The following is a 27,171-nucleotide window of genomic DNA, read 5'->3' on the forward strand; positions in this document are numbered from 1 at the left end:
AAGTGCCTGCTAAATTGCATTCCTGATAGTGGGGAAGAAAGAAATGAGCCGGCCCTCTTTGCATATGCATCCAAATGGGCATGGACATTCACTGAATTGTTATGCTTTTGTGGGGGGATGAGAGGTCAGCAATTCTAGGCTCCGCCTTTTCAGCTGGCTAAACCAAGGACCCCAAGAAATGTACGTGTTTTGGGTGAACACATTTGCAAGAGATAAGTGTCCTCAGGAGGATGGGGTCAGAGTCCTCATAGGTCCTCAGGAGAATCACATACTGCCAACCAAATAACTTTCTCTTGCCGCTTTGTCCACAATATCAAGTAACTAAATTCCAGCTTCACTGTCTCCCGTAGTCATAGTCAAGGGTTACTTGAATTTCCTAGTTGGAAAAAAGTAGCATCAACTTGTTGCCAATAGCAACACAGCCATGTCCCTGTTTCCTAGAGCCTTTTGGTCTTTGCCTAATTTGGAGTGAACCAGAGCTTAGATGCCAGAGTCCATTTGGGAAGGAGGAGGAGAAGAGGAACAGGCGGGCATTAAGTGGGTCACAGGAAGGCATGCCACCGAGAGGCCTTACAGGCAGAATGCCACCCTCATTCCACTCCTGAAGCCACCAAGAATTTCCTGCAAGCTGAGAGAAGAAAGAGCAACAGGGTTGTTCCGTCAGATGAGAGGAGGGAGAGAAGAGAGAGCTGGTGTGAAAAGGGGGCATTTCCACCACACAGGGATGCAGAGTAGCAGGGAAAATGGAGATGCACAACTTGGACGCGAGACCGGGGAGTCTGGACCTGGCATTCTGCCACTCATGTAGGGCTCAGCTGCTGAGTCCTTGTCTCTCCCACCATCCCTACCCAGCTCCGGATTTGTCCCTGCACAGCTGGGGGGCCATGGAGAAAGGTCCCCCATCACTCAGCAAAACTGACAGGCAGAAGAAAGTGATGAGCATGGTGAGGCCAGGGTCAGAGATGCCAGGAACACCAGCAGGGAGGGCTTCCTCCACCTGGCTGGGCACCCCGAATTAGGCACTTGGCCTAGAATGATTTAAAGTGGGGTTGGTTTTCATTAGAGTAAGGCCACCCTGCCTGCCCCACCTTAGAAAGGGAAACATCACACCTGCTCCTGTCCTCCCTGGGGCATTTGCCATGTGTGTTCCTAGAGGCATCAGCATCAGTAACACAGGGCCACAAACAGAACGGTGGGTTCACCCAGCCTGTCCAGCAGCTACCACCTGAAATCTACATGCACCAAGCCATGGTGACCTGCACCCCAGCTCAATGCAGTAACCAAAAGCCCCTTTTGCCAGGCTTGTCAGCCAGCAGATGGCACCTCCTTTCTCTCAGGATTTCCAAATGGGATGAGGGGAAGCCGCTTCGCAGCATAGAACCTGCCTGAGATAAGCTCAAGCATGCTCAAGAACTTAAGTTCTTTTCTCAGGGAAGTTGAGAAAATCACCCTGCATTGCCCAGAGAGGTTGCCCAGTACGGGTTGGGCACAGGGGACTCCTTCATCCCTGAGTGTTTCCATCTGCCTCCTTCCTTGAGAGTGACAGCCATGTGCAAAGTAAGAGGGGCATGGGTCGTGAAGGCCGACCAACTCAGCTTTGCCACTGACTAGCCATGCACTCCCAGGCAAGTTACTCAAACTCCGTTTGAGTCTGTTTCCTTGTTCGTTTAGTGGAGTTTATAGAAATGCCTAACTGGCAAGCATGTTGTGGACATAAGTAAGTGCGGGTGCTTGTAAAATGCCTCGCATGCTTGACAGACACACAATAGTTGCTCAATGGTCCATCAGCAGGTGGCTGTTTGTTAGTAACTGTCCTCACAGCTACCTGTGTACCTAGTGGGGGACCATTCCCACCATGCCACTGTCAAGGCCTGAGTGATTTGAAGAACAAGGCACTTGAGGAGAGAGGGTCCATGAGCTACCCGTGCCATTCCATCAAACAGGCCCATGGGAGATCAGGGGATAGGTGGGTCCTTTTACATTTAATCCAGATAGGAGAACTGGCAACTCTTCTTTTGTAGATTCAAAAACTTTTTAAAATATTTTAAAGCACTGGTAGTTGCCAATTATATTAGTCCATTTTCACAATGCTATAAAGAAATACCTGAGACTGGGTAATTTCTAATGAAAAGAGGTTTAATTGACTCACAGTTCCACATGGCTGGGGAAGCCTCAGGAAACTTACAATCATGGTGGAAAGGGAAGCAGTCTTACTTGGCAGCAGGCAAGAGAGAGCGAGTGTGTATTAACACTTAAAAAACCATCGGATCTCATGAGAACTCACTCCCTATCACGAGAATAGCATGGGGGAAACCACCCCCATGATCCAATCACCTCCCACTAGTTCCCGCTCTCAACACATGGGGATTATAGGGATTACAATTCGAAGTGAGATTTGGGTTCAGACCCAGAGCCAAACCATATCACCAATACAGGATAGAGTAAGGTGTCTGAGCCTACTAGTGGTCCCAGTGACATTCTGTGGGAATTGCTTTCAGAAGACGTGACTGCTGGGTACCTCCTCCATCCCCAGTGTTTACCAGGCAGAGCCTGAGTGTTTACACCACACACAGCCTGAGTCTTTATACCACTGTACATGAGAAGGTAGGGGTCGGGGGGGCGGGGTGGGGGGTGCTGTTGCAAGAAAAAAAAATCCATTACGTTTATTTTGATCAAATTTATTATTTTTTAAACAGGTTCAGTTTTAAGTATTCATGAATGTACCATTTATTAATTCTTTAATCAGTGAACGTCTCTTTTTTGATTAATTCACTTTTCATCTATCCCTTGACTTTTTTAAAAAAATTGGGGTATTGTTTTATGTTTGTGATATAGCTTCCTATTTAAAAGGGGTCAAATAAAAAAATATTTTAAAACCACATAAAATGCCCTTAAGCCCCTGCGAGAGTTGAGGAAGGTTGCCAAGGCCCTACAAGTAACACAGACCCCAGGAATGGGTCAGCCACAGGCTCCCGCCCCTCCTCACTGCGGAAGGGTGAGAAAGACAGGAATGGCCTCTCTTCCTTCCCATGCTGCTCTGACCTACCTCTGTTGTGGAGGAACCATAACGGGTTCCATAGCCCGGTTTTTCCATTTCCTATGCCCCACCTTGTTTCACAGAGTTGAGTTAATAGAGGGTGATAAGAAATAGAGAATTTAAAAAGTGTTTTGAAATTATTCTAGGTTAAGTGTGGATTTTCCCACCATCCCCTGCCAGCGTTTCTCCGACATCTCAGACTGCACTCTCTCTCCCCAGTTTTAGACATCATTGAGGAAGAAGATGCCACGGAATTCTTTGCATTCCCTTTTAAAATCATTTCTTTTGCTTTGCTCAGTGGAGAAGGAGCACCAGGGGCAGCAACCTTCCGGGAGTCACCCGATGAAGTCAGGCAGGCCTTTGGCTTCTCCCATCCTGCTGAACCCAAGCCAGGATCCCCTACCTTTCCACCTGGCTCTTGGGCTCCTGACCCTTATCCTCAGCAAGTCTCCCCCAACCCCACCCCAGGCCTCTAATTCCACACGTATACATCCTTTATGAACTTGAGCACCATCTATTCAAAGGTGACCTTCAGGCTCCTTGAGAGCACGACTCATCTCTCTCTGGGGCCTCCACTTCTTGCCTGCTAAGTTGCATGGTGAGCTGTATTCAACGAAACACGATTTTTCATGAGCAGGGATGGAAAATGCCTGTGTGTCACACCAAAGGGATCCGTTTGCATCAATGGAGGCTAGAAATAGTGTTCCACATTAGTTCTGTTGCGAGTTCGAATTCCCCAACAGAGGAATCCAGGTTCCTCCTGTACTGGAGGGGGAAGCATTGAATTTCTCCAAACCCAGGGATGGGCCCAGCAACTGAAGAAGGGTAAGGAGTGGGAAATTCCAAGGCATAGATGTCATAGCTGGGACTTTTTTTTGTCCTAATTTTTTTTTTCTTTTGAGATATAATTATGCACGGTAAAATGAACAGACCTGAAGTACATGGCTCAATGAATTTGACAAGTGTATGCACCCGTGTAACGTATACCCCATCACCCTAGAAGGCTCCTTCATGTCCCTTTCCAATCAATTTCATCCTTCTCCCCCAGGGGCAACCGTGGTTGATTTCTTTCCCCCATAATAGCCTGGATTTTGATTTGGCAGACTTGAGATCTGTAACTTCGGTCTTAGTTCATCTGAGCAGATCAGCAAAAGAATCTCATCAGAAGCTCAGATGTCTTTACTCTCTTAGCATTGAAAAAGATCCTCCCTGAGCCGCTAGTGCTTGGCTCTGCTGTCCCCCAGTATGCCCCAATCTGACCCCCAGGGCTACTCTCTGAGCCACAGCCCTCCTCCCAGCCAAAGAAAGAGTTTAGCATCAGTCTCCCAGGTAAGTAAGTGGCAAAAGCTCTTGGTAACCCAGATAGTGCATGCTTTGTTGATTAATATGTGGAAGTGCAATGCACAGAGCCACAGCATGTCAAGCAGCATGTTGATTTTTCTCACTGCACAAAAGGGGGCTATTCCTTTTGTGTGTTTCCTTTCAGAAAACAAAGGATTCCATGACCACCTTCTTCCAGGCTCCTAGCCATCAAGATGGCCACAGAGCTGAAATGATTAATCAGAGCGGAGGGTGGGAATTGAATGTGTGGGTGTTAGTGAACCCAGCACTGAGCCCATGGTCCATGAAATTGAAGGATCCCAAATTCTACTGGATTACACTTTGCCAAATGTCTCAAAGGTGAAAAGCACTTTGTCGGTATGCAAAGCTTTGGTGTCTCTGGAATGTACCTTCTGCAGCTCAGTTCTTAATCACTGTATATTTTTTCACTTGGACAAAGGCTGCCTGCTAATAGCATTTTCAACCATCCTCAGCTGCTTCGCTCAGCTACGCCAAGGCCTCGGGCTGAGCTGGCTGCGGTTTCCTGGCACCATGATCCATTCCCAACTGACCAACACTGAGGAACATTACACACTCACACCCTGAAAAAAACCTGCTTCCTCTGTAACTATGCAAATGCCAGACACAGGCAGGCAGAATTACCATTCCCCTTCTGAAGTGGTTCCTTCAGGATCATCCAAACTGGAGACAGAGATGAGAGTAAAGAGACGGGGCAGTGCCCTGGAGGGTACAGGCAGGAGCTCCCCTCTCTCTGGGCACAGCGGATTCCTCGGGAGCTTCCTGCAAGCCTATAGGGGCATGCACTTTGGGGCAGCTCATCTCTGAACACAGGTAGCCTCTACTATCAGATTTCACTTTGATCACTGAAAACTACAGGAGTCTCAGCTCTTCAGAAGGGAAGCAGCTGCTGAGCAAGTGTGATTGCAGTATTTCTTCCCCAAAGCCCCGGGCCAGGCATCTACCCATGCCCGCATCCTGCATGATTAACCGCCTTCCAGTCTGAGCCTGCCCTCACTCACGCGGGAGGTCACTGGGTAGCGAGTAGATTGCAGCTGGGCTGAGCTGCCTCTCAAGCCGACCTGAACCCTCATGACCTCCATCTTTAGCAGCAAGCTGGCATTTGGTAAATGCGCGAAAGCAGGAGTGGGGAGAGGGAGACAAAAATGCCAAGCAGCACCGCCTGGGTTGCTGAGAGGTTGGGAACAATCCCAAGGGTGGCCCCTAAGCTGGTCAGCTGCACCATCCTACCCTGAAATCCTGGGAAATAAAAGCAGTCGGGGGAAGCGAGGAGCGGGCAGTGACAGGCTGGCCACAGGTCCTTGGAGTCAGAGCGGTGAGGCTGAGCTCCAGGATTTAGTCAGGAAGAGAATAATTAGCACCTTCAAGCCCAGCCCAGCCCAGCCCATTCTGTAGAAAGGGGAAGGGTTGAGGGTATGGAAGCCTCAGGGCCAAATTCACCTAAAACAAATAGACACATAATCCTCCAGAAATAGAATCTCCAACCTCCCTCAACCCACAGTCCCCTCTCCAGCCAAAATAACCTTGTTAATAGGAATGAGGCTGCAGTGAAGGTTTGGGCAACTGGTAAACCTCACCTCCTTTGTCTCTGGGCTTTGAATGTACTCATTGGCAACAGACTCTTATTCAGAAGCTTGAGTGATTTTTTTTTTCCCATCCACCAGCTAAATGAGAGCCCCAAACGCTGTGGATAGCAAACTCAGAACATATATATTTGGGTACATAATGTGTGATTTGTGGCCCTGGCGAAGGAGGGATGGGAGGAGGAGGAGGACCTGATATTGGTGTGTGGTGGTTATCACAGCAATAAGTGGCACCTAAAAGGAGAGCAAACTTCCTTTGTGCCTTTCATAGGACAGGGATGGACATAGGTAACCGGGGGTAGGGGAGGTTTGTAAGAGCTCTCACACAAGGAGGCCCCTAGGCTCAGCAGCCCCGTGTTTCCCCAGCAAGGATGCCCCACACCCCCATGTTTCCTGCCTTCAGGCCTGCCCCAGGAAGGCACATTCCCGAGTGACAAATGCCTCACACTCTATGTAAGAAAGGGCACTCAAGGAGAGTCACCGCTGGGTGTGTGCCACAGAACCCGGGGCTGGGGGGAGCCCTTGAAGGTCAGCCTCTGCCTTCTAAGAGCTATTGTTGTACCTAACCTGGTCTAGACAAAGGAGTAGTCATTCTTAGTGATTTTCAAAGACTGACACCATAACCCTCTTGGATTTTTTAAAAATCTGATTAAAAACTCCTTAGCCAAGTATAAATGTATCCTGCTGCAGGCTAAGTTTAGTGCACTTGAAGATTCAGATAAGGTTGCTGATGGGGTGATTTTGTGGACGTGTGTGTGTGTGTGTGTGTGTGTGTGTGTGTGTGTGTGTGTTTAAGATGGGGAGAAAAAATGAAAAGTTTTGTCTCACTAGTGAAAATGGGGAGTGAAAGCAATGGGGAGGAAAAAGGTCAAGGAGAGGTAGGGAAAGGCAGACTTTCTGACAGCTCCTGAGGGCAATTTCATTTTTGGACAAACTCCCATCTATAGCACCAGAATTCTCAAAGTCAGGCTGGCCATGCCTCTCCATGGAGATCTAAGCCAGATGCCACATTGTCCTGTATCCAGCAAATCCACAGCCCGTGTTGTTTATTAGATAAACCCGTTATCCATCAATTCATCAATCAGCAGGTTTATTGAGGACCCTACCAGGCTTCACAAACCTGATCAATTTTTTAAATTACATCTAGCTTACACGCAGCCAAGCCCAGTAAACAAGACGAGCCCTCACACCCCACTTGGAAATGAACATGAGGAATCGCTGGCCCTTGCAATCTCACGGCCAAACACTGCAGCCCCATGCTGACGAGCTATCACGTGCTGCCCTTCACAGATGGCGGTGGTGTCGCTGACCCACTGTCAATAATATGGGTTTGGAGTGCTTTCCCAGACACAGTGATCAATCTGCCTGGGTCTAGCCATACTGTCCTCTAAAGCCCTGTGCAATGATGCGGATTTCTAAAGAGGGTGAGCTGGAGAACGGGCACACACTATGTAAGGGCAATAAGCAAAGCGACGGAGCCTCGCTCGTGCCCCTCACCCTCCTCCTGGTGCCCAGTCGCAACTCCCCTCCTAGATCAGGGGCTTCTCCGCCATCTCTCCAGGGCACATACACAACGGGACTCTCCTGGCACCTCTATGGCTGATGCACCAGGCCTCATGATCCAGTTCACTGTTTTAGTTTTTGAGAAGAACTGCCACATGGGTTATAGTTGAAGGGCTTGTAGGCTTTCCTGGTATGGGGTCATCAAACTCTGCCTCTGGGTGCCACAGATGGGAAGCCAAGAACATAGGAGACAGCAGGAGTGCACTGCCCTGGGGCCTACAGTGGCTCTGAGCCCCAGCAAATGCCCCCCACTTTCATGGTCCCAGAACTGGTCATCAAGAGGACTCAAGGTCTTTGTGTCTACCCTGCATTCCAAACAGGACTCTGCCTTCTTAAGACTAGTTCATTCATTAGCTTCTGATCAGCCAGATCCTTGGCCACCCTCTATTTGAGTCAAGCCCCCGTCCCTGATCTCAGAACACCCCAAGTCCACCTTTTCCTCCCCCACGTGAACAAAATCAATTTCAGGGCAGCCCGCCGGCATTAAAAATTGCTCTACCTAAAGGTTTAAATACCTGGTTTTTGGTAAGTAAAATTCCCATACCACAAAAAGAGTACCAACAACACACCCTCATAAGGGGACCCTCCAGGACTCCCTGAACCTTCCCTGGAGCCCTGGTTTCTCCAGCTGTCCAAAGTTAAGGCTCCCATACACCTAGAGATCAAATATCAAGATGGTCAGTTGGGTTGGTTGGTCGTTTGGCCTACATGGCTCATGCAACAATTAATTCACCTGTCTGGCTCTCTGTCTCTGTCCCTCTGTGTGTGCGCCTGTGCGTGCCTCTCTGTCGCTGTCTCTCTGCAGGGAAAGTCGCTGGCGGGCAAGCGCCTCACGGGCCTGATGCAGTCCTCCTGACCGTTCCTACCGCAGGTCCAGGGCCTGGGCCCGCGGACCCCACAGGCAGGCGGCGGCGCTCCACATCTGCGGACAGAGTTTCCTTACGAGGAGACTTGGTCACTGTGAAGGAGAAAGAGTGAGGGCAATGAAGGGCGATGGTGGGGAGACTCGGTGGGTGAATGGGGAGACCAGAAAGAAAGAGTCCACAGAGCCTGGGCTGGGCCCGGTGGAGGCTCCTGTTTACAGCCCTCTCTTCTTTGTACAGTTGTATTCCAACACTCCACTCGCTAAGAGGCCCTGATCCCAGCTCATTCAGGGGAGAACACGTCGTGGGGTTCCTGTCACGACTATCACTTGAGATTATATTATTATCCTCACTCCCTCGCTGTCTGGAGACGGTCACACCTTCTGGCAAATTCAAGAGGCATGAGTGGACCGAGAGCACATCCAGCATTTGCATCACCTCCCTGGCACCTCCCATAGTTACAGCCACTACATCCCCACCGCCGCCTGTCATCCCTCACGTCTCTGTGGCCACCCGGGTGTCACTGCCAGCACCAGGCACTGCTTTCACGTAAAATGTCCAAATCACATCTTCAGCAAGAAAGCAACCTCACGGATTGCCCCGCCTCAAGGTCTTTCCACCCTCTTTGAGATCAGCGTTCGGAGAGGTCCCCGCCAGCCCGGTGGCTGCCCTCAGGTCCCGTCACATGTCTCAAGGGTCCAGCGTTCGAGGAAGCACTGTTGTAGATGACAGAGCTTTTTGTTTCACAGCTGCGGGGATTCTGCTGACCATCTTTTAGAAAATTATTTCATAATTTATTCTGGCTTTGCCCCCTTGCTCCTTGGTTTATTCCCTCATGTTTTACTCAAAATAAACATGGCCATGAACTCAGGGGCCATTGGGATTCTCCCCTCTGGCAGCCCCAGGTGGGAGCTGGGAGGGTCCCCAGCCCAGGAGGTGGCTGGATTGCAGGGCTGGCAGCCCCCACGTGGTGGCATCCTGACAGGCACAGTGAGACCCTTGCTGGGTCAGGTCTCCTTTGTGTGTGAAGCTGGGGCAGAGTATGCTACGAAGGGACCAGGCCAGGCCACAGGGCTCTCCTCCCAGTCTTTATCTGAAGGCCCAGCCAAAGCACCCCTCTAAACCGGTCACCTAGGGGAAATGCAAAAACCTGCAAAAGATCCACCTGTATTCCCTGTGTGTGTGTGTCAAAATGACCATTTGCCAACCTGGCTGTGAGGTAATGTATGTAAAGCACCGAGTCAGGTGCCTGATACGCAGTAGGTGCTTAGCAAACGGTAGCTAATACTATCATCATTGTCATTGTTATTGTGACACCCATGAGCCCACAGACAGAGCTGTATTAAGTAACCTGTTTTGAATCCAGACATTCACTCCCCCACTTGCTATGACTACCCTCCTTTGATCTATTTTTGGTCATAGGTAAAAAAAAAAATCTCTCTTGGGAGCATATAAACAAAAAACATAGAAGCAATAAAGCGATCGCTGGTATTTCTTTTCTCATGCAGCCAAATTCGCCAGCTGGTGACCAAAGGCTCAGATGCTTGCTTATTTGCAGACCCGGCCTCCTGGGTGCTCCCCAGTGACCCATCTTTCCACCCCACCACCTCCAAGTCCTGTCTATGTCTGCTTCCACACAGCCCTGTCCCCAGGGCACCAGCCTTCTGTCCCTCACAGCAGTGCCATCGCGGGCATTAGGAGTCTTCGTTATGTTGTATCCTTGTGAGTTCTTGACTACCATGCCCAAGTTTCCCCCACTGGCAATGGTTCCTCTCTTGGAGGTACAGTGGAAACCAGAGAGATGACAGATGTTGAGTCCTCAGTGTCTCAGAGGCAGCAATTCTTGCTGGACACCTGCACATGCTCAGCACAGAGGCTGGTACTTTGGAGGCACTAACCACTTGATGAGTAAATCAATGGCATAAAGCCCCATTCCAAGTTATGGGGTCTTTTGACAGGCCCCTTTCATCCTCTTTCTCTTTGTATAAACCTCATGTTTCAGAACAAAATTACAGTCTAAGTTCATTTGCCCCCAGCCTTGCCCAAGGATCCCCGGGCTGTGCTGACCCCTAGGCATAGGGCAAAGGGTGTTCCCAAGCAGCAGGCACCTCAGTGCCCTCAGTTATCCAGGGCAAGGGGCCTGGCTGCCCCCTGCTCCTCCCCATGATGCAGGGGCTTTCTAAGCCAGGCTGCAGACAGGGCAGGGTTGGCTTCTTGGCCATTCCCTCTGTGCCCCCTTCTCCTTCTGACTGGTCTCACCCTGGAGATCCCCAGAGGATCTGACCAGAGCCAGGTGGACTGTGGCCCTGAGATGGAGCTGGCTGCAGGCTTACAAGCACCTCTGGGGACATCCAGAGGGGAGGGTCAGTAAGCACAACGGAGCTAGGGAGACTTCAGATGGACTCAAACCCAGAGCAATAATACTCTCACACCACCCCACAGCTAAGGCACTCATGTTCCCCAGTAGATCAAGCCAGAAGCTTTGCAAGAAGGGAGTGGAACGAGGCTGCCTATCCAAGGTCCATCTACCACGCAGAACTTGGTCATGCAAGTACATTTGGAAAATCTGGTCTTGGCCCGTCCCCCATTGGCCTGGTCTACACAGCCAAAAATTCAGACTAGATTAGATGTTTGCAGGCAATTCTGTAGCAAAGCAAATTCCCCTACCCCGTCCCTTCCCCCTAGAAGCTGCCTTAGCCTCCCTGACTGGGTGTGGTCTCTGGGCCTAGGACTCCTCCCTATGAGGAAAAGTGCTCTCCAGCCACATCTTGGCAGCCCCACAACCACAGCATCAGGGCAGCTGCAGCAAGTGACCACCCACCCGTCGGGTTAGACACACAAGGCACCAGGCACTGGCATCTGACTAAAATAACCTTTCCCTACATGGGAAGAGGAAAGCTTGTAGGCTGGCACATATAAACGTCCAGCCGCAGCCAGATGGCCTGAACTAAGCAGCAGGAACTCTCTGGGCTGGGGAGGAGCCTCCTGCCCTTCTAGAAAGTGATGCGTCAGCTTTGTTCTCCTGGGAAGGTGTTGCTATACCCCAGGAACAAAGCAGGGCCCAACTGCCAGTGCAGTCAGCTGGGCCTGCGCTCCAGGCTCACCACCGCTAAGTGGTCAGGTACCGGGCCAGCATCCTGGGAGGGACCTCTTGCGACTCTGAGTTGCAGCTTGGACTAGCTGAACACATGGGGACATGCTCCAGGGGCTTCTTCCCTGGCAGGATTCCTGGGATTTCAAACTACCTCACCAACAGGACGCTGAACCAGGAGCCTGCCACCCAACTGGCCCCCTTGGTGATTGTGGAAGGTGATGTTTTTCCTAAAATGCATCCCTCCTGTTCTGCTCCATATACATGTGCTTCAAAAACCACCACCAGGAAAGCCTTCCCAGAAGAGGGAAAGGATTAAGGGCTCTCTTCCTTTGGGCCCTGCAGAATGTATTGGAGGGAGGTGTTGCTGCAAGGTCCAGGAGCTGGGAAACTCTGGGCTCGGGGGGAGATAATGCACCACCAGCCTCAAAAAGGAGCTGCCCAAGTTGAATATGTAGCAAAGACCATGGGATAAGTTGAATAGTGGCCAGACGAATCACTAATAACTCACCATGGGACCCTCTGAAGAGAGGCCTGTGCTCGTGTAACCATAGCAACAGCAGATGCCAGCAACCTACTCATTAGTACCACCCAGTGATAAGGCATCCCCTGGGCTAGACCCAGGGGCCATAAAGTAGCAAAGTAGCAAATGTAGCAATAAAGGGCCCGGGTCTATACGGGGACAGGGTCCAAATGACCAGGACTTGGCCCTCTCCCCAGCCCCGATGAGGGCTCAGAGCCAGCTGCTGTCAGCTGTCTGGGGAGGGAAGGCCCTGCTCCATACCAGGGGTCCCTGTTCTATACTCTAAGCCCACTCACCGCATGATCACGGACTCATCGGAATGGCCTCCTCTTAGTGCATGTGGTTCTCTTTAGTTTATTTTTCTGGAATTTGGGGATTGGACCCCAGAACCAAACATGCTGGTACAGTCTAAAAATAAATGACTTGAACCCACTTCAATCCAGCTAACTCTGTGTGGCTCCTTGGTTTGGGGGTTCGTTGGGCAGGATGTACCTCTAGAAAAATCGACCACCCCTCCCCACACTCCACCCTTCCCCATTATCACACACACACACACACACACACACACACACACACACACACACACACACACACCTGTTTCCTTCTCACTCCCAACCAGGCTGCCAGGCAGCACAGAAAAACCAGATCTCTGGGGCATTGGACTCATCCTGGTAGGTAGAGACAGTGGTGTCACCATAAGGCTGAAGTCCCTGACTCTGCCAGGGTCTCCTTGGCTGGGGGGTTCTCCAGACCCCATTGTCTGTACTCAGGTGCAAAACCCTGTGGCTGCTCTGACACCCTCTTGAATAAGATCCCAGGGTCAAAGTCTGCTGCATACAGACGGTGCTTCTTACACAGAGTCTCGGTTTCCTGAGCGACAGACAGTTGCACTTCCCACTAACGCCAAAGCAGCTGGACTCTGAGAGCCTGAGCGTCAGGCTGACAAGAGGAGGATGAGCGCAAGGTAAAAAGGCAGTGCTAGTGTACTGCAATCCCTCTATTAATGAGAAAGCCAACACCTAGCTGCATACTTCAGTGGCAGAAATTTTGCTCCTAAAGGTAGAAATGATTTCAGAGGCATGAAAATGGGACTCCAGTCACAGCTAGAAGGGAACCAACTCATCTTTCAATCCCTGGGCCACCCCCTTGTGCAGGATTTTCTGCCCCACAGAGTTAAGATCAAGTCACATCTGCCTCAGGTCCATAACATGTCCCACCTCACGTCCTGGTCCATCCCCAAAAGAGCCTGTCCTCTTTGACCATGGCCACCACCTCCAGGGAACCCAAGCTGCGCCTGCCTTCTCAGCTGGACCATCTGGCTTAGTTCCAGAATCTTTGCTTATCGGGCTGTTGCTGTGCATGCACTCTACCCTGACCGCCACGAGCAGGGCTCTGCTTTCAGGTCCAGAATCAAGATGGAGATTTGAGGCTACCAGTTATAACACAAAAAGCTGTGCCGGTCCAAGAATGAGAGCCATCCTGACAGCTGCCTCTCTCCCTACACCCTTCTGGGGACCTGTGGCATAACAGGCATGAAGCTGTCCTCTCCTTTGCTGCCAGCCTCCAATTGTTCATTGATCCCAGCCTCTGAGGAACCACCAGGGCCTCTGATGAGTGTCTCTGATCCTAGAACTTTTCCTGGGATGTGGCAACCTCCAAACCCAAGTAGTTCTCTGAGAGGCATATCCCCTCCTGGGCCCACAGAGCTCTGCCCAGCAGGCTCTCCCTCCGCCACCCTTCCTTCACAGAAACACCCATATGAACCCCTGACCCCCGTCGTGGGACTTCCGACACCTGCAGCTGGGCCCGTTCCCTGTACACAGCCCTTCAGCGCCCACAATGGGGGTTACTGGATCTGCCCCAGACCCCATACACAGAGGAGCAGGGCCCCCTGGCCAAAAAGAGGCTGTGGAATCTGGCTTATTTTAAAGGGGCCTGGGGTGTCGGGTGTAGCCACGTGAGCTCCATCTGTCACAGAGCTCTCTGGTACGCTCTTCCTCGCTTGAAGTGTGGGCTCGGTTCTCCTCCTCAGAGCCCTGAGGTGTCTCCTGGCCAGGTCTGGCTTATTTCAGCAGACAAAACGAAGTAACAGCCCCTGAGTGCAGAGCCCCAGAGCCACCCTCATTCTGAGCCTTAGTGTCCTCATTTGTGAAACAAGAATGAGAATTTCAAAATCTTCGGGTGGCTGTGAATTAATCTAGAGGGCTTAGCCTGGGCCTGACACATGGTAAATGTTCACGAAATGGGTGCTGGTGTTAGCTGGAGCCATGTCTGAGATAGGCATTGAAAGGCGGTGAAGGGAGGGTATGTTTGCAAATCCCTGCCAGACGGACAACTTCCCTGGCAGCCTGGCCCCTGAGAGCTGCCCTTCCCGCCAACCTCGAGGCTGTAGGCTTTGTTTGCCTGTGTGGGCAGCGGCCTCTCTCTGCCTCTGACAAGCCCCTGGCTCCCTTCTTCCCAGTGAGGACCTGGTTCCCTGTGTGTCACTTGGGTGGCCTCCATCAATAACCCTGCATTAGGCCTGAGAAACAGCAGAGTGGCGGGCCGGAGGCGCCCTCCCCAGACCCCACATGGAAAATGGAAACAGTGCAGATTCCCGCTGCCCATCTAGATCCCCGTTTGTCTGACGGACCTCATGGCTACTTCCGTGAGATTTGGACTCTGAGCTCTTGTTCCAAAATACTCAATTTCAGGCCAGTGACTCTGCCCTCTGACCTAGGACAAGGACCTGCCTCCGTCCTCTGAGAACACCTGGCGTCCAAGGGAACACGTGGACCTCCACGGGAGGGGCAGCCTCGTTCCTACAATTTCCAACCAAGAAAATAAAGCCTGGTTCTTCTCTTTCTCCCATTACATCACAGGATGGCTCTGGGTTAGGAAGGGGTAGGAGGGATCAGGGAGCGGACGTTTAAAAAATGAGACAAGTCCCTGGATATCTCTTCCTGTGGCCCTTGCCTGTGATCGCACCCTCAGTAGAGAACAGTGAATATTAACACAGGGAGGAACCTGTGAGATTCTCTGGGGTGTGTGTGTGTGTGTGTGTGTGTGTGTGACTTTTAGTTTGTTTATTAAGCTATAATTTACCTACATTAAAATTCACCGTTTTATATTACAACATTGTTATCAGTTTTGACAAACATATACAATCATATAACCCCCACTGAAAATCAAAATAGGGAATAATTTCATACCCCAAAACGTTCCTGTGCCCCTTTATAGTTAATTCCTTCCCCCTACCCCTCTGTTCCTGGAAGCTGCTGGTTTGTTTTCTGACCCTGTAGTTTTGCCTTTTTTAGAAAGCCACATACAAGCCAGGCACAGTGGCTCACACCTGTAATCCCCGCACTTTGGGAGGCCGAGGTGGGCGGGTCACCTGAGGTCAGGAGTTTGAGGCCAGCCTGGTCAACATGGTGAAACCCCATCTCTACCAAAAATACAAAAATTAGCTCGGCGTGGTGGCAGGCACCTGTAATCCCAGCTACCCAGGAGGCTGAGGCACAAGAATCACTTGAACCCAGGAGGTGGAGGTTACAGTGAGCTGAGATCACACAGTTGCTGGCTGGGCGACAGAGTGAGACTTGTCAAGGAAGGAAGAAAGGAAGGAAGGCAGGGAGGGAGGGAGGGAGGGAACGAATGAACAAGGAGTTATACACTATGTGACCTTAGCCCATCTTCCCTTGCTTAGCTCAGTGCACACTGTTGCATGTCTAGGTAGCACATTGCTCAGCCTTTTGTTCTATCCATAAAGAAACTGAGGCCTATAGTGGGAAGAGCAGAGAGAGTTGGAGGAGCAGAGCTTAGCGTCTAGGTCATGACCACCACCCAGCCCCTCGGGCTGGTGGGACATACTTCTTCACTAAAAAGTCACCTTTTTAAACCCTCAAAATCTGTGAGCCCGTTTGAGAAAGCATATGATCATAGAACCCACACATTGAAGAGAATGTATGCTTTCTTCATCTAATAGAAGCTACTTAGAGTCAGCCCTCTGTATCCACAGTTTCCACGGATTCAACAACCATGATGAAAAATATTTTTAAAAATTAAAAAATAACAACAGTAAAAATACAAATTAAAAAACAATATAGCATTAAAATGATTTACACAGCATTTACATTGTATTAAGTATTATAAGCAATCTAGAGATAATGTAAAGTATATAGGAGGATGTGCTTTGGTTACAGACAAATACTACACCATTTTATAAAAGGGACTTGAGCCTCCTCAGATTTTGGTATCCGTGGGAAAAGGGGACAGTCCTGGAACCAACCCCCTAATGAATATTGAGGGACAACTGTACTAGGAAACAAAGGGAAGTAATGGTACTTATCAGAGTGGGAAATGGAACTATAAAGGGGCACAAAGGGGTAATGGAATTATTCTCTGTCTTGATTTTTGGTAGTGGTTACATGATAGTATAAGCAATAGTGAATATCAGAGTGAGGCGTTATCTATTCAGTTAGTAGGCAGTGCTTGGTGCAACTCCAGGTTGACCGGCTCCTACCAATTACTCTGGAGTTCTCCCATGCCTTCTCCAAATAGATTAGCACAGATTTAGAAAAGTGATAAAAGCTAACTGTAAACACAGTGCTGGAACAGACCCCAGGGACATGGGGATCCAGGGTAGAGTGAGATAGCCATGAAAACCAGGTCAACTGGAGGAGATGACCCAGGGGTCCCCTCAGCGAGAGATCTAAATATTCACAAGTTCCAAATAATTGGAGTTTTGCTAAGCAGCATTATGAACTCATGAATTTAAATATATTAAATATATTTTGATCCATTGCATTTATTGTCCTTATTGACGTCCAAAGTGTCCCATCTTTGGCCAGTGAGAACCTGAGTCTTTAGACATGACCTTGATAATCTTTGGGAATTTCATTGCTATCTGGTATGACAGCATAATCCAGACATATCTTGTACATTTCCTCTCCCATACCTAAGTTTCAAGTAAGTGAAAGTCTATGAATGCTTAGCTATAAAATTAGAGGGTCCTGTGATGGACTTTTCCTATGTAAACTGAATCCCCCATGCCTCCAGATTATTAGAATTGAAAATTCCTTTAACAATCAACCAACCCAGAGCCTTCATTCTACAGAACGGGAAACAGAGGCCCAGAAACATCCAGTGACTTACATAAGATTATACAGGCTTATGGCAGGGCAAGGATTAAAGACTAGGGTCCCTGACTCCTGGTCTTATGCTTACCATGGTCTTTACTCTCCTTGAAATGTCCTTAGCCCATCTAGTCAGATACTTCCACTGACGCCACACCCAGCCTTGCTGTGTGTGCTGAAAGGTGGGCATAAAAAGTAGAAATATCCTGATTTCAAAACTCATGACAAGGCTACAGTAATCAAGACAGGACAGTACTGGTAAGAGGAGAGACATATAGATAGATGGAAAAGAATTGAGAGTCTAGAAATAAACCCATGCGTTTATAGCCAACTGATTTTTAACAAGAGTGTCAAAACAATTCAATAGGGGAAAGAATCATCTTTTCAACAAACGGTGCTGGAATAACTAAATGAAACAGAAGTAGAAAAATGAAATTTGATTCCCTACCTCACACCTTATACAAAAGTTAACTGAAAATGGATAGAAGAGCTAATACTATCACACTGTTAGAAGAAAACATAGAAGTAAATCTTCACGATCTTGGATTGGGCAATGGTTTCTTAGGTAAAACACTAAAAATGAAAACAACAAAAGAAAAAAATAGACAAATTGAACTTTAACAAAATTTTTAAACTGTTGTGGCTCAAAGAACACCATCAATAAAGTGAAAAGATATCCCAGATTGGGAGAAAATATCTGGCTATCAAGGTATTTATATTTAGAATATATATAGAACTTGTAAAATTCAGTAATAAGACAAATAAATAATGCAATTAAATGCTGGGTGAAGGATCTGTACAGATTATTTCTCTAAGGAAGCTACACAAATAACCAACAAGCACAGGAAAGGATGCTGAACATCATTAGCCACTAGGGAAATGCAAATAAATTCCATGATGAGATACCACTTCACAACCACTGGGATGGCTATAATAAAAAAGGCAGATTTTAACAAGTGTCAGAATGTAGAGTTCTGGAATATAAAATGGTGGTAATGTAAAATGCTGCAGCCGCTTTGGAAAACAGTCTGAAATTTCCTCAAAAGCTTAAAAATAGAGTTACTCTATGACCCAGCAATTCCATTCATAGGTATATACCCAGGAGAAATAAAAACATACAGCCATACAAAAATTTGAACACAAGTGTTCATAGCAGCATTATTCATAATAACCAAAAAATGGAAACAATTCAAATGTCTGTCAACTGGTAAATGGGTTAAACAAAATGTGACGTATTCATACCATGGAATATTATTTGGCAATAAAAAGGAATGAAGTATGGATACACATCACAACATGGATGAAACCTGAAAACATTATGCTAAGTGAAAGAAGCCAGTCACAAAAGACTATAGATTGTATGACTCCATTTACAAAGAATGTCCAGAATAGGCAAATTGATAGAGACAGAAAGTAGACTAGTTGTTGCCTAGAGACAACAAGGTGGGGTGGAAATGAAAAATCACTGCTGATGGGTATGGAGTTTCTTTGAGGAGTGATGAAAATGTTCTAAAATTTATTGTAGTGATGTGGAGATTGTGCAAAACTCTGTGGATATACTTAAAATCATTGACTTACATACTTTAAACAAATAAATTGTATGGTATGTGAATTACATTTCAGTAAAGCTGCTAAAAACAAAAACAGAAAAAAAGAAAGAGAAGGTAAGAGGGAAGGAGGGAGGGAGGGAAACAGGAAAGGAGAGGGGGAAGAGAGAAAGAAAAAGAGAGGGAGGGAAGGAGAGAGAAAAAAAGAGCTAGCTACAGATCAGGAAGAATCCAAGCCTGTTTTTCGAAGTCACCAAGAGAACAGGGCTGGTCCTTAGAGAAAGTGAGTGAAGGCAGCCACAAAGGACTTTGAATCCTGCCTAGTGCCAAAGACAGGATCAGGAGATGCCAGGTCATCCCAGAGCGAGTGGTCCATTTCGGCTGTCTCTGCCCACTCTGGAGATTAAAGCCCTTGAGCCCTTCCTTATAGGAAAAAAGGAATTTAATTAGGTAGATTATTGGTCAGCAGCATAAGAGAGCTATTCACACACCCACTTTGTGTCCAATAGAAGCCTTGTTTCCTAAAGCGTTAAGCCCCAGGGACACTTGAGCTCTAAGAAGAAACACCCTGGATGGAGAGTGGGAAGACTTGGGTTCACCACTAGTAGTGTGGCCTTAGGCAGCTGGTAACCCAGTTTATCTGCGGCAAATGTCTTAACAGAAAGAGTCCCAGGCCCCACATCTAGAGATTGCAAATCAGGAAGTTTGAGAAAGACCCCAGGAATCTACATTTTTAACAAGTAATTCTAGATGATTCTGACCCACAGGCAGATGGGAACCACTGAACCAGATGCCCCTGTGTTTCCTTTGAGCTTGAGAACACTAGGATTCTGGGAAGGGGGTCAAATTGAAGTCCAGAATAGATAAATATCTCCTATTCACTTCTTCTCCAACCAAAGATGCCCACTTCTATCTACCCCAGTCTGTGAGCTGTGGCCTGACTGCGGCCAGAATTTCTCTAAGCCAGCTCCAACCCCTTCTGCTGGCTTTCTGCTTGCCACCCTCACAAAGCTGTTCTGCAGCAACCAATCCTGGGTTCTCTTCCCGGGAGGGAGGCCCTCACTTAGGGGTTAAGAAAGCTGCATATACACACACATGCACGTGCACACACACGCACGACTGTGAGCTGATCTATTGAGTGAAATGCTCCTATTCATGCAAGACTTTGCCAAGGTGAACTCACTGAGCCCTCAGATAAATGCATCAAGCCAGAAACAAAGGGAAAACATTGGGAGCAAACCAAAAGATAAATTACAAATTGGATTAGTGGATCTTCCTCTCGCTCTACTGCGGAAGCATGCTATTAGCTATCCAGACATGCCCAGTGGTTTGGAATACCCACACACACATACAACATCCACAATGCCCCTCCCCGGTCAGGCACAAAGCAGAGGTGACCTTGACACTTCTCACTCCTAAGCCTTTAGCACTCAGACTCATGGCTGCTCTCAGGATTCTGAGCTTTGGGCAGGAAAAAACAAACTTTCTCTTTGGCTCTCTCCCAGGGTGCCAGCTGGTGAGCCCACAGAACTTCTGCCAGTTCACTCACACAGTGTTCTGTGACTTTCCCCAGTCCCTGCTGCCTCCTCCCGCCCCCTCCACGGCCCAGCCTCATGTTATGGCAGAATAGGAGTGACCACCCCAGCAACTGGCATTGCAAAGAGGAAGGCAGGAGTGTGTCTCCTCCCAGAAAAAAAGATAGTTAAGAGTGAGGCCGGGCTGCCCTGATAATGACCCAGGGGGAAGATCTGATGGAAGGTATATCTGAGGACATTTAAGTCTATGAGCGCTTATTGAGATTGGCCACGTGGCAGGTGTTATGCCACCTACTAAGCTCAGAGAGTTGAGTGAAAGTGGTTCTTGTCCTCGAAGACCACACCTTCTAGTAGAAGATACAGATACGTAACCAACCTACTGTGATGCGAGTAAGAGGGGCATAGGAACAAATAGAATGCACATGGCAAAGGGAAACTCATTTGCCCTAGGAGGAAGTGGGGAAGGAGGTAGCATGAAAAGCCCCCACCTGCTGAGGGTGCAGTGGGTGGACTCCATGAGCAGAGTGTGCAGTGTGGGGGACTGGAGTGGGCACAGAGACTGAGAAAGGTCAGACCTAGATACCAATGACAGGTCATGATGGCGCAAACCAGGTTAGGGCCTAGCAGTGAGGGTGCAGAGAGGGAAAGATTTGTGTGATGCTACAGTAGGATGGAAAGCCCCTGGTGACTCAATGAATATGGGGGTTGGAAAGGGAGAGGTGGGTGTTGAGGATTTCAAAGGATTCAAATCAGGGTGGAGAAACTGTGTGGAGCCAGTAGATACCAGAGCTGCTTCCAAAGAGGGTGAGGATACAGCTGGCAGCCTAGGAGTGAGTTATCTGGAAATATAGGCTGTAAGGTAGGTAAATGGTAGGAGGCAGCATTCAGAGTTTATTGTTTCAGAGGTAGAGCAATTGTGAAGTATCTGGGGTGTGCCATGGGGTAGCTGGACTGGAGAGGCATACAAGGGTCATGATGGAGAAGGTGAGGGCCCTGGCAACCAGGGATTGTGTAGGTCATCAGGGAACATTGAGGTTACTCAGAATGACAGCAGAAGGTGGAATGGAGGAAGACCCTTGAAGCTGGGGACAGGTGCCCTTGTCCTGAGGGAATATGGAAATGTGACCTGTAGGTCCATAGGTGAGGGCATTGAGGGTGAGGAGAGGATAGGACAACCAACGTTCCTTCAGAAGGAGATGGGCTCTTGGACAGAGTTCATAGGTTGGTAGCCTGAAGGCAGCAAGGACAGGAAAAGGATGGGCATGCTTCCAGCTCCGTCCAGATTGCCTGCAGAAGGACATCTGGAAGAAACCTTTCTCCACCACCTCCATCAGTTCCGCAAATAACGTATTATATATTTCAAAATAGCTAAAAGAGAAGGTTTTGAATACTCCCACCACAAAGAAATGATACATGTTTGAGGTGATGAGTTTGCAGATTACTCTGATTTGATCATTACACAATGTATACAGGTGTCAAAACATCCATAATGTGCACCATAAATATGTGCAATTATTATGTGTCCATTTAAAATAAAATAAATATATTTTAAAAGCAGTTCCATTTTCAAGCCAGCCTATCTGAGCCCCAGATCGACTTGCTTTCGGCTCCCTGTCCTCGTTCTGGCCTGGCATCCCACCCGTCCTTCCTAAACTGCTCCAAGAATGTCTTCTCAGACGGCCAGAGCCAGAGGCTCCCGTTCCTGTCTTCAGTGGCTATCTTGTAGAACTGCCTCACAAGCAAGACAATCTGAGGCTGCAGCCATTTGGTTTTTCAGTCATTAGACCCTTCCATAGATTCTAGGTGAACTGCCTCACACCAAATTCGCATCTCCTTGAATACAATTGAGGAAAGCTCTCTTGTCACATTTTACTTTCCTTTCCTTGAAAGTACAAATTTTATTCTCCCAGTTTTTCTATATAGGATATTTCCTCCAGGTCCTATAAAACCAGTTTAGACATGTCTCTGTTTGGCCATGTAATGGGGGGATATATTATACCCACATATGGAGTTCCCAGCAACAAAACAAGATTGTATTTTTCTCCTCCCAAAAAGTACATACAGAGTCTTCATTGAATAACATTATCCTATCTGTAGTAGAAATAAAATAAATGATGATAATATGTAGCAAAGGGATCCAGGTTTCCAACACAATGATGTCATTCCTTTCATATACTATTGGCAGCAGACAGATTGCAACACATCTGTAATCTCATAGAATGCTTTCAACACCTTGAAACATAAACCCTTTTCTCTGTTCATTTTAGCTATTTGGAACAGAATTATTTGCAAAAACATCATCAAAATGATTATCTGTTACGATATTGTTTTGTGATAACAGACATGTGATACTTGTTCTTTGAGCCATGCTGTGGTCCCATGATGCAGACAGATTTGGGGAGCTAAAATCTGGCTGTCTTCTTCCTCACTGTCAATCAAGGCTTCTCAGCATGATGGATCCAACTGCCCCTTTCCAGTCTCTCAGTGCTTCTAACCTGCTGCCCACTATATCTTGGCAAGAATTGATGATTTTCAGAGGAGATCCAAAATATTAGTAATATTAATTTACACCAAATTCTGCATCTGGGCTCCAGTTTGACAGTCTAATGCTCTGAGATGCCTTGTGCCTTTCAGGTGAAGTAAACACATGGGCTTTGTAGAAGCATTTGCCTCTGCTCAGAGAACTCCTTCCTTTTATTTCTGGAACATCAGTGCAATCTGTATAGTGAGGCTGCAGGAAGAGGGCCCCAGGCACCTGAAGCTGCACCCCATTTTAGCTACTAAAGTCATCTTCATGCATATCTGCACTGAAGTTCCCAACAGGGGGCTGTAACAGGCAGGTATATTATTTGCCAACAACAATGGAGCCTGAATTGCCTTCATTATAATCAGTAACTCCTGAGTGATACAATGTTACCAATCATTTCTCTTGCCCAGAATTCTCTATTCATAGCCATATGTAATTCATATCTATATGAAGATTTTCTGAGAGAAGAAGTTGAAAGTTTGAAATGTGATCTGCTGAGGATGGCCCACTATGGCTGAATTCCAGACATCAGAGCAAAGAAGAAACAGAGCATTCTCTCGTTTAAACATAGCCAGGGTTCCGCATTCCTGCAGCATTCACCAGCTTAGTGCCGACCATTTACTCTTTCTCTCCCACCTTTTCTACCACTATATTGGGTCCTTTTTACCCCACCTCTGAAAAACACCCATCTTGAGTCCAGTTCCAGTTCTTACCATCACACCTGGGGAATAGCTGAAATGTCACCAGGGAAACATCAAGACACATCTAATTTAAAGGAAGCTGGATTAAGTTTTGTCCATGTACGTAATGAAAATGCCCCTAGTGCTCCAGGTCCACATGCTGCTGGAAGCTCTGCCTACCTATCAGGCAACTCAAGACTGCGTGGTGACTTCCGTGTCCTAAGTCCTTGGAAGGAGTCCAGCACAGCCCTCACAGGAGAAAGCCACTTCTTCATGCCATTGAGCTGCTATCTCCACATCTGAGAGACACAGGAGGAGCAAGATGAGTGGTGCTCTAACCTGAGCCATCGGCCCCAGTAACAGATGGGCTTGTTGCTTTCAAAACCCAGAATACATCTCGCTTTAAACAGAAAAGGAAGATCAGAAGTAAGACTCCTAGCATGAGCTACCTTGAGGCAGAGTGCAGAGGCTGCATGAGTGGCTGGGGAATTGGTCCAGGATAAAAAGCCTTTCCTCTCCCTCCTTGACCTCTAAATGCTCCAGCCCTTAGAGTAAGTGGCTGAAATGAACTGACCTTCCCTGATGCCTGGATTCTCTTTCTTTAACCAAGAATGCAAACAGCCCAATCTACCTGCTCTGACCATTAGAACTTAGATTTCCTCATTTGAAAGATGCTTCTTTTACTAATTTTAGGAAAGGAATGCTCTTAGACTTTTTCTTTGGCTTTGAAGAAACTTCATTATTTTCTGGGACATGTTCACATCCTCCTCCTTCCATAGGACATGCCTCCCTTGATGGCACCCCCTGGGTCCCACCTCCTCACGTAAGAGCCTAGGAGGCAACCTCTAACCCTCCTTCTCCTTCAGCCTCTCTGCCCCACCTGCCATCAAATCCTGTGAAATCTGTGTTCACTCTATCCCTTCCTACTTCCTCTTAGCTGAGGTCCAGAACTTGACCTTCACTATTTGCAATAACTTCCCTGTCCCCAGTCAAAAGCTTCCAGCACTAGAAAAATATATCTGTTTCCTGCTTAAAAACATCTCAGTGGCTCCCTATTCCCATCGAAATTCACTCAGTGCAATTTAACAAACATGAATTGAGCACCGATGATGTGTCAGGCACTGGGGTAGTGTTGAGATGCAAAGGTAAATGAGGCATAGTCTGAGCCCTTCAAGAGTTCACAATGAGACCCGCACACAGCGGGGTATGGCTTCCTAGGAAAAGTGCCAAAGTAAAAGGAACTATAAAAGCATTTTGGAATTCTGGGGGCCAAGAATACTACAGAATACTGGTGATATTTGAGCTAAGGCTTAATGGGTGAGTAGGCATTTGTCAAATGGACACTGATGAAAGGGATGTTGAGGGGTCTTTCAGGGAAAGGAAATGGCTTGGGCGAAGCTGTAACATTATGATCATCTATGGCATTTGGGGAATAAGCAAGTGGGGTGGTATGAGAGCCTGGAGAATGGGACCCAAGATGAGATCAAGTCTGCAATCCTTAGGAAAAAGTATCAACCTGTGTATCAACCGCCTGCATCAGCCTATGCTCCTGTCTCACCTCTAGCTACTCCTTCTACTCTACTCCAGTCCCAAAGTCAGTCAGTCAGTCAGTCTCTGTCTCTCTCTCTCTCTTTTCTCCATGCCTCAGATCTAACTGACTGGGTACTTGATCAATGGCCTATCCTAAGGAGAAGGGATGACTTCAGTGTGACCACCACAAGGAATCGGAGAACAAGGCCAGGTCTTCCATGACCACCACCTGGAAGCCCCTGAATAGTTCAGGGCCTCTAAATGGGTAATCATTGTCCCTGGCCATCACTGTCATGTGCCACACGTACCATCTTTAGTAAAAGACCATCTAAATCAGGCCAGAGCACAGCACTCTATCTTGGCTGCTGCACCAGACAAAAAGCCAGTCAGCCAAATAATAAAGCTTATCAGAATGCATCCCTCTTCCACAGCTCTATCAAGGGGCTATGGAAGAACAGGAAGGGGAGGAAATGTCTAGTCCTATTGTCGTGAGACACTAAAGGGAAGCCTGTGGACCTGTCATCAGGGGCATCTCTCTTGGAGTGAGGCATTCCACAGCCCAGGGATAATGACATCTAGTGAAAATGCCCAGCCCCTCTGAGCATCCTGGGGACTCATCCCTTAGAACGCTGGCTGCTCAACACTCACCAATTTGACATAGGAAACTAGGAATGGACAGCAAAGGGTGTTGGCCCTGATCACAAGGTAATTCATAATCTCACCAGGTAACAGTAGATGAGGCCCAGGAATAGCAACAAGTAAACATGGCAGCATATAATAAGGTGCCCACCTGGAGGCCACTGAAGTAACTAAGATCTTCAGACAGTAAATGTCATGTTAGTGTGGACTGGGGCCATCAGGAAAGGGTTCAAAGAATAGGTGGATGGGGCACGAATTGAATCATAGAGATTGGGTGAGATCTGGACAATAGGAAAGAGGGACAAAGTGCAACCCAGGGGGAATAATATCAGCTTATCAGCTAAGGCACAAATGAGGACACCTAGCCTCTTAAATTGGAAGACACCTTGATGTTCATCCATCCAAATTCTTAGCTACTGCAAAAATCCTTTCAGCACCTTGACCATCCAACCTCTTAATTCAGTGCTGTAAGAGTAAGAGGCACTAATTAATGGAGGGACTGTATGACAGACGCAAATTCCTCTCTGTGCTGCTTCTCCTGGTAGTGACACCTTTCTCCAAGTTGCCAGCATCCTAAATCTTAAAATGTCCTGCCTTGTGACTCAGAGGACACCACTTCCCTAGACCCTGTATCTCAGCAAAAATGTCCCCCCCACCCCGACCCCAGGGCCACAGCTTTGCCCTGCAGGAGAGAAGCAATCAGCTCCCATCCTTGGCATCCATATTCATGGAGAATTGTTCTTGCTCTGACCTGTAGCCCTGAGTGGGAACTGAGGCTGATGGTCCCCAGAAGTGCACTTTAGAAATTAGCCCACAGCCATCTGCCTTTCCTCCAAGTAACTCAGGCCCTGGGAGGAATGCACAGCTGTTTTCACTGCAGTCACAGAGAAGCATGAGATAGGGCAAGGAGAAAGGAAGGTGACACCTTTCAGAGCCAAGGCTGCTCCCAAGAATGTTTGAAGGTTATTAGTATGGTTGTAATCAGGCTATTAGCCAAATGCAGGTGGAGAATGAAGTGGCTTTGAAATTGCTTTTCAGAGAAAGCAGAGCCTGTGTTGGTGTACTATGCATATGATCTCTTTCAAGCAGCTCTTCAGCTTCCTACATGGCCAAGACAGGACTCAGGTCTCCAGCTAACCACAGTCAGAACTATTCACTTACCTGGGCCTCAGGAGTGAGCAGGGTCTGCCAGGAAAAGCCCTGCCTTCAACCTGCTCTGCCTGCCTTATGGGAGCAAGAACAAGGCATGAGCCACCTTCTCATATTGAGTCAGGGTCCAGAGTCCCTGCAAAAGTGGTTGGCTCAGGAACCCTTCTCTTTAGTTCACAGGCAAGTAGCCTCATTCTGCACCCCAGGGTTTGCAGTGTCCAGTGCCCAGTGCCACATGTGACCATCCCATCCCTTTCAGGCTGTCCAAGGGGAATCAATAGCAGTCTCATGTCTAGGGGCAGCCTCTTGAGGACAGAGGGATCCTCAGAGTTCCCAGTGGATGAAGCCCCCTGCCCAGCTCCTTCTAGGCCACTTAGTGGATCTGGGCCTTCTTCTTTAGAGGCTATAGGAAGAGGAAAGTATGTTTCTAC

The 27,171-nt window shown here is 48.1% G+C and overlaps 1 protein-coding gene across 48 annotated transcripts in view; it reads left to right on the plus strand.

The window, feature by feature from the left end:
* RGS6 (regulator of G protein signaling 6) overlaps positions 1-27,171 on the plus strand; it is a 762,695-nt gene that overhangs the window by 686,735 nt on the left and 48,789 nt on the right. For 28 of the 48 annotated variants that reach the window (NR_135235.2, NM_001370270.1, NM_001370289.1 and 25 more), the window contains one exon: positions 8,348-12,461. The exons of 2 other annotated variants lie outside the window; for them this stretch is intronic. Coding sequence is in view for 42 of the 46 variants with exons in the window: in NM_001370270.1 (NP_001357199.1) it covers positions 8,348-8,520 (173 nt within the window). In the remaining 4 variants the exon portion in view is untranslated. Of the gene's footprint in view, positions 1-8,347; positions 12,462-25,070; positions 25,415-27,171 lie in introns of those variants that run through there. 18 more of the 48 variants (XM_024449761.2, XM_024449759.2, NM_001370275.1 and 15 more) reach the window with 4 other exon arrangements.

Source organism: Homo sapiens, chromosome 14 (assembly GCF_000001405.40).
Source record: "Homo sapiens chromosome 14, GRCh38.p14 Primary Assembly".
Lineage (NCBI taxonomy): Eukaryota > Metazoa > Chordata > Mammalia > Primates > Hominidae > Homo > Homo sapiens.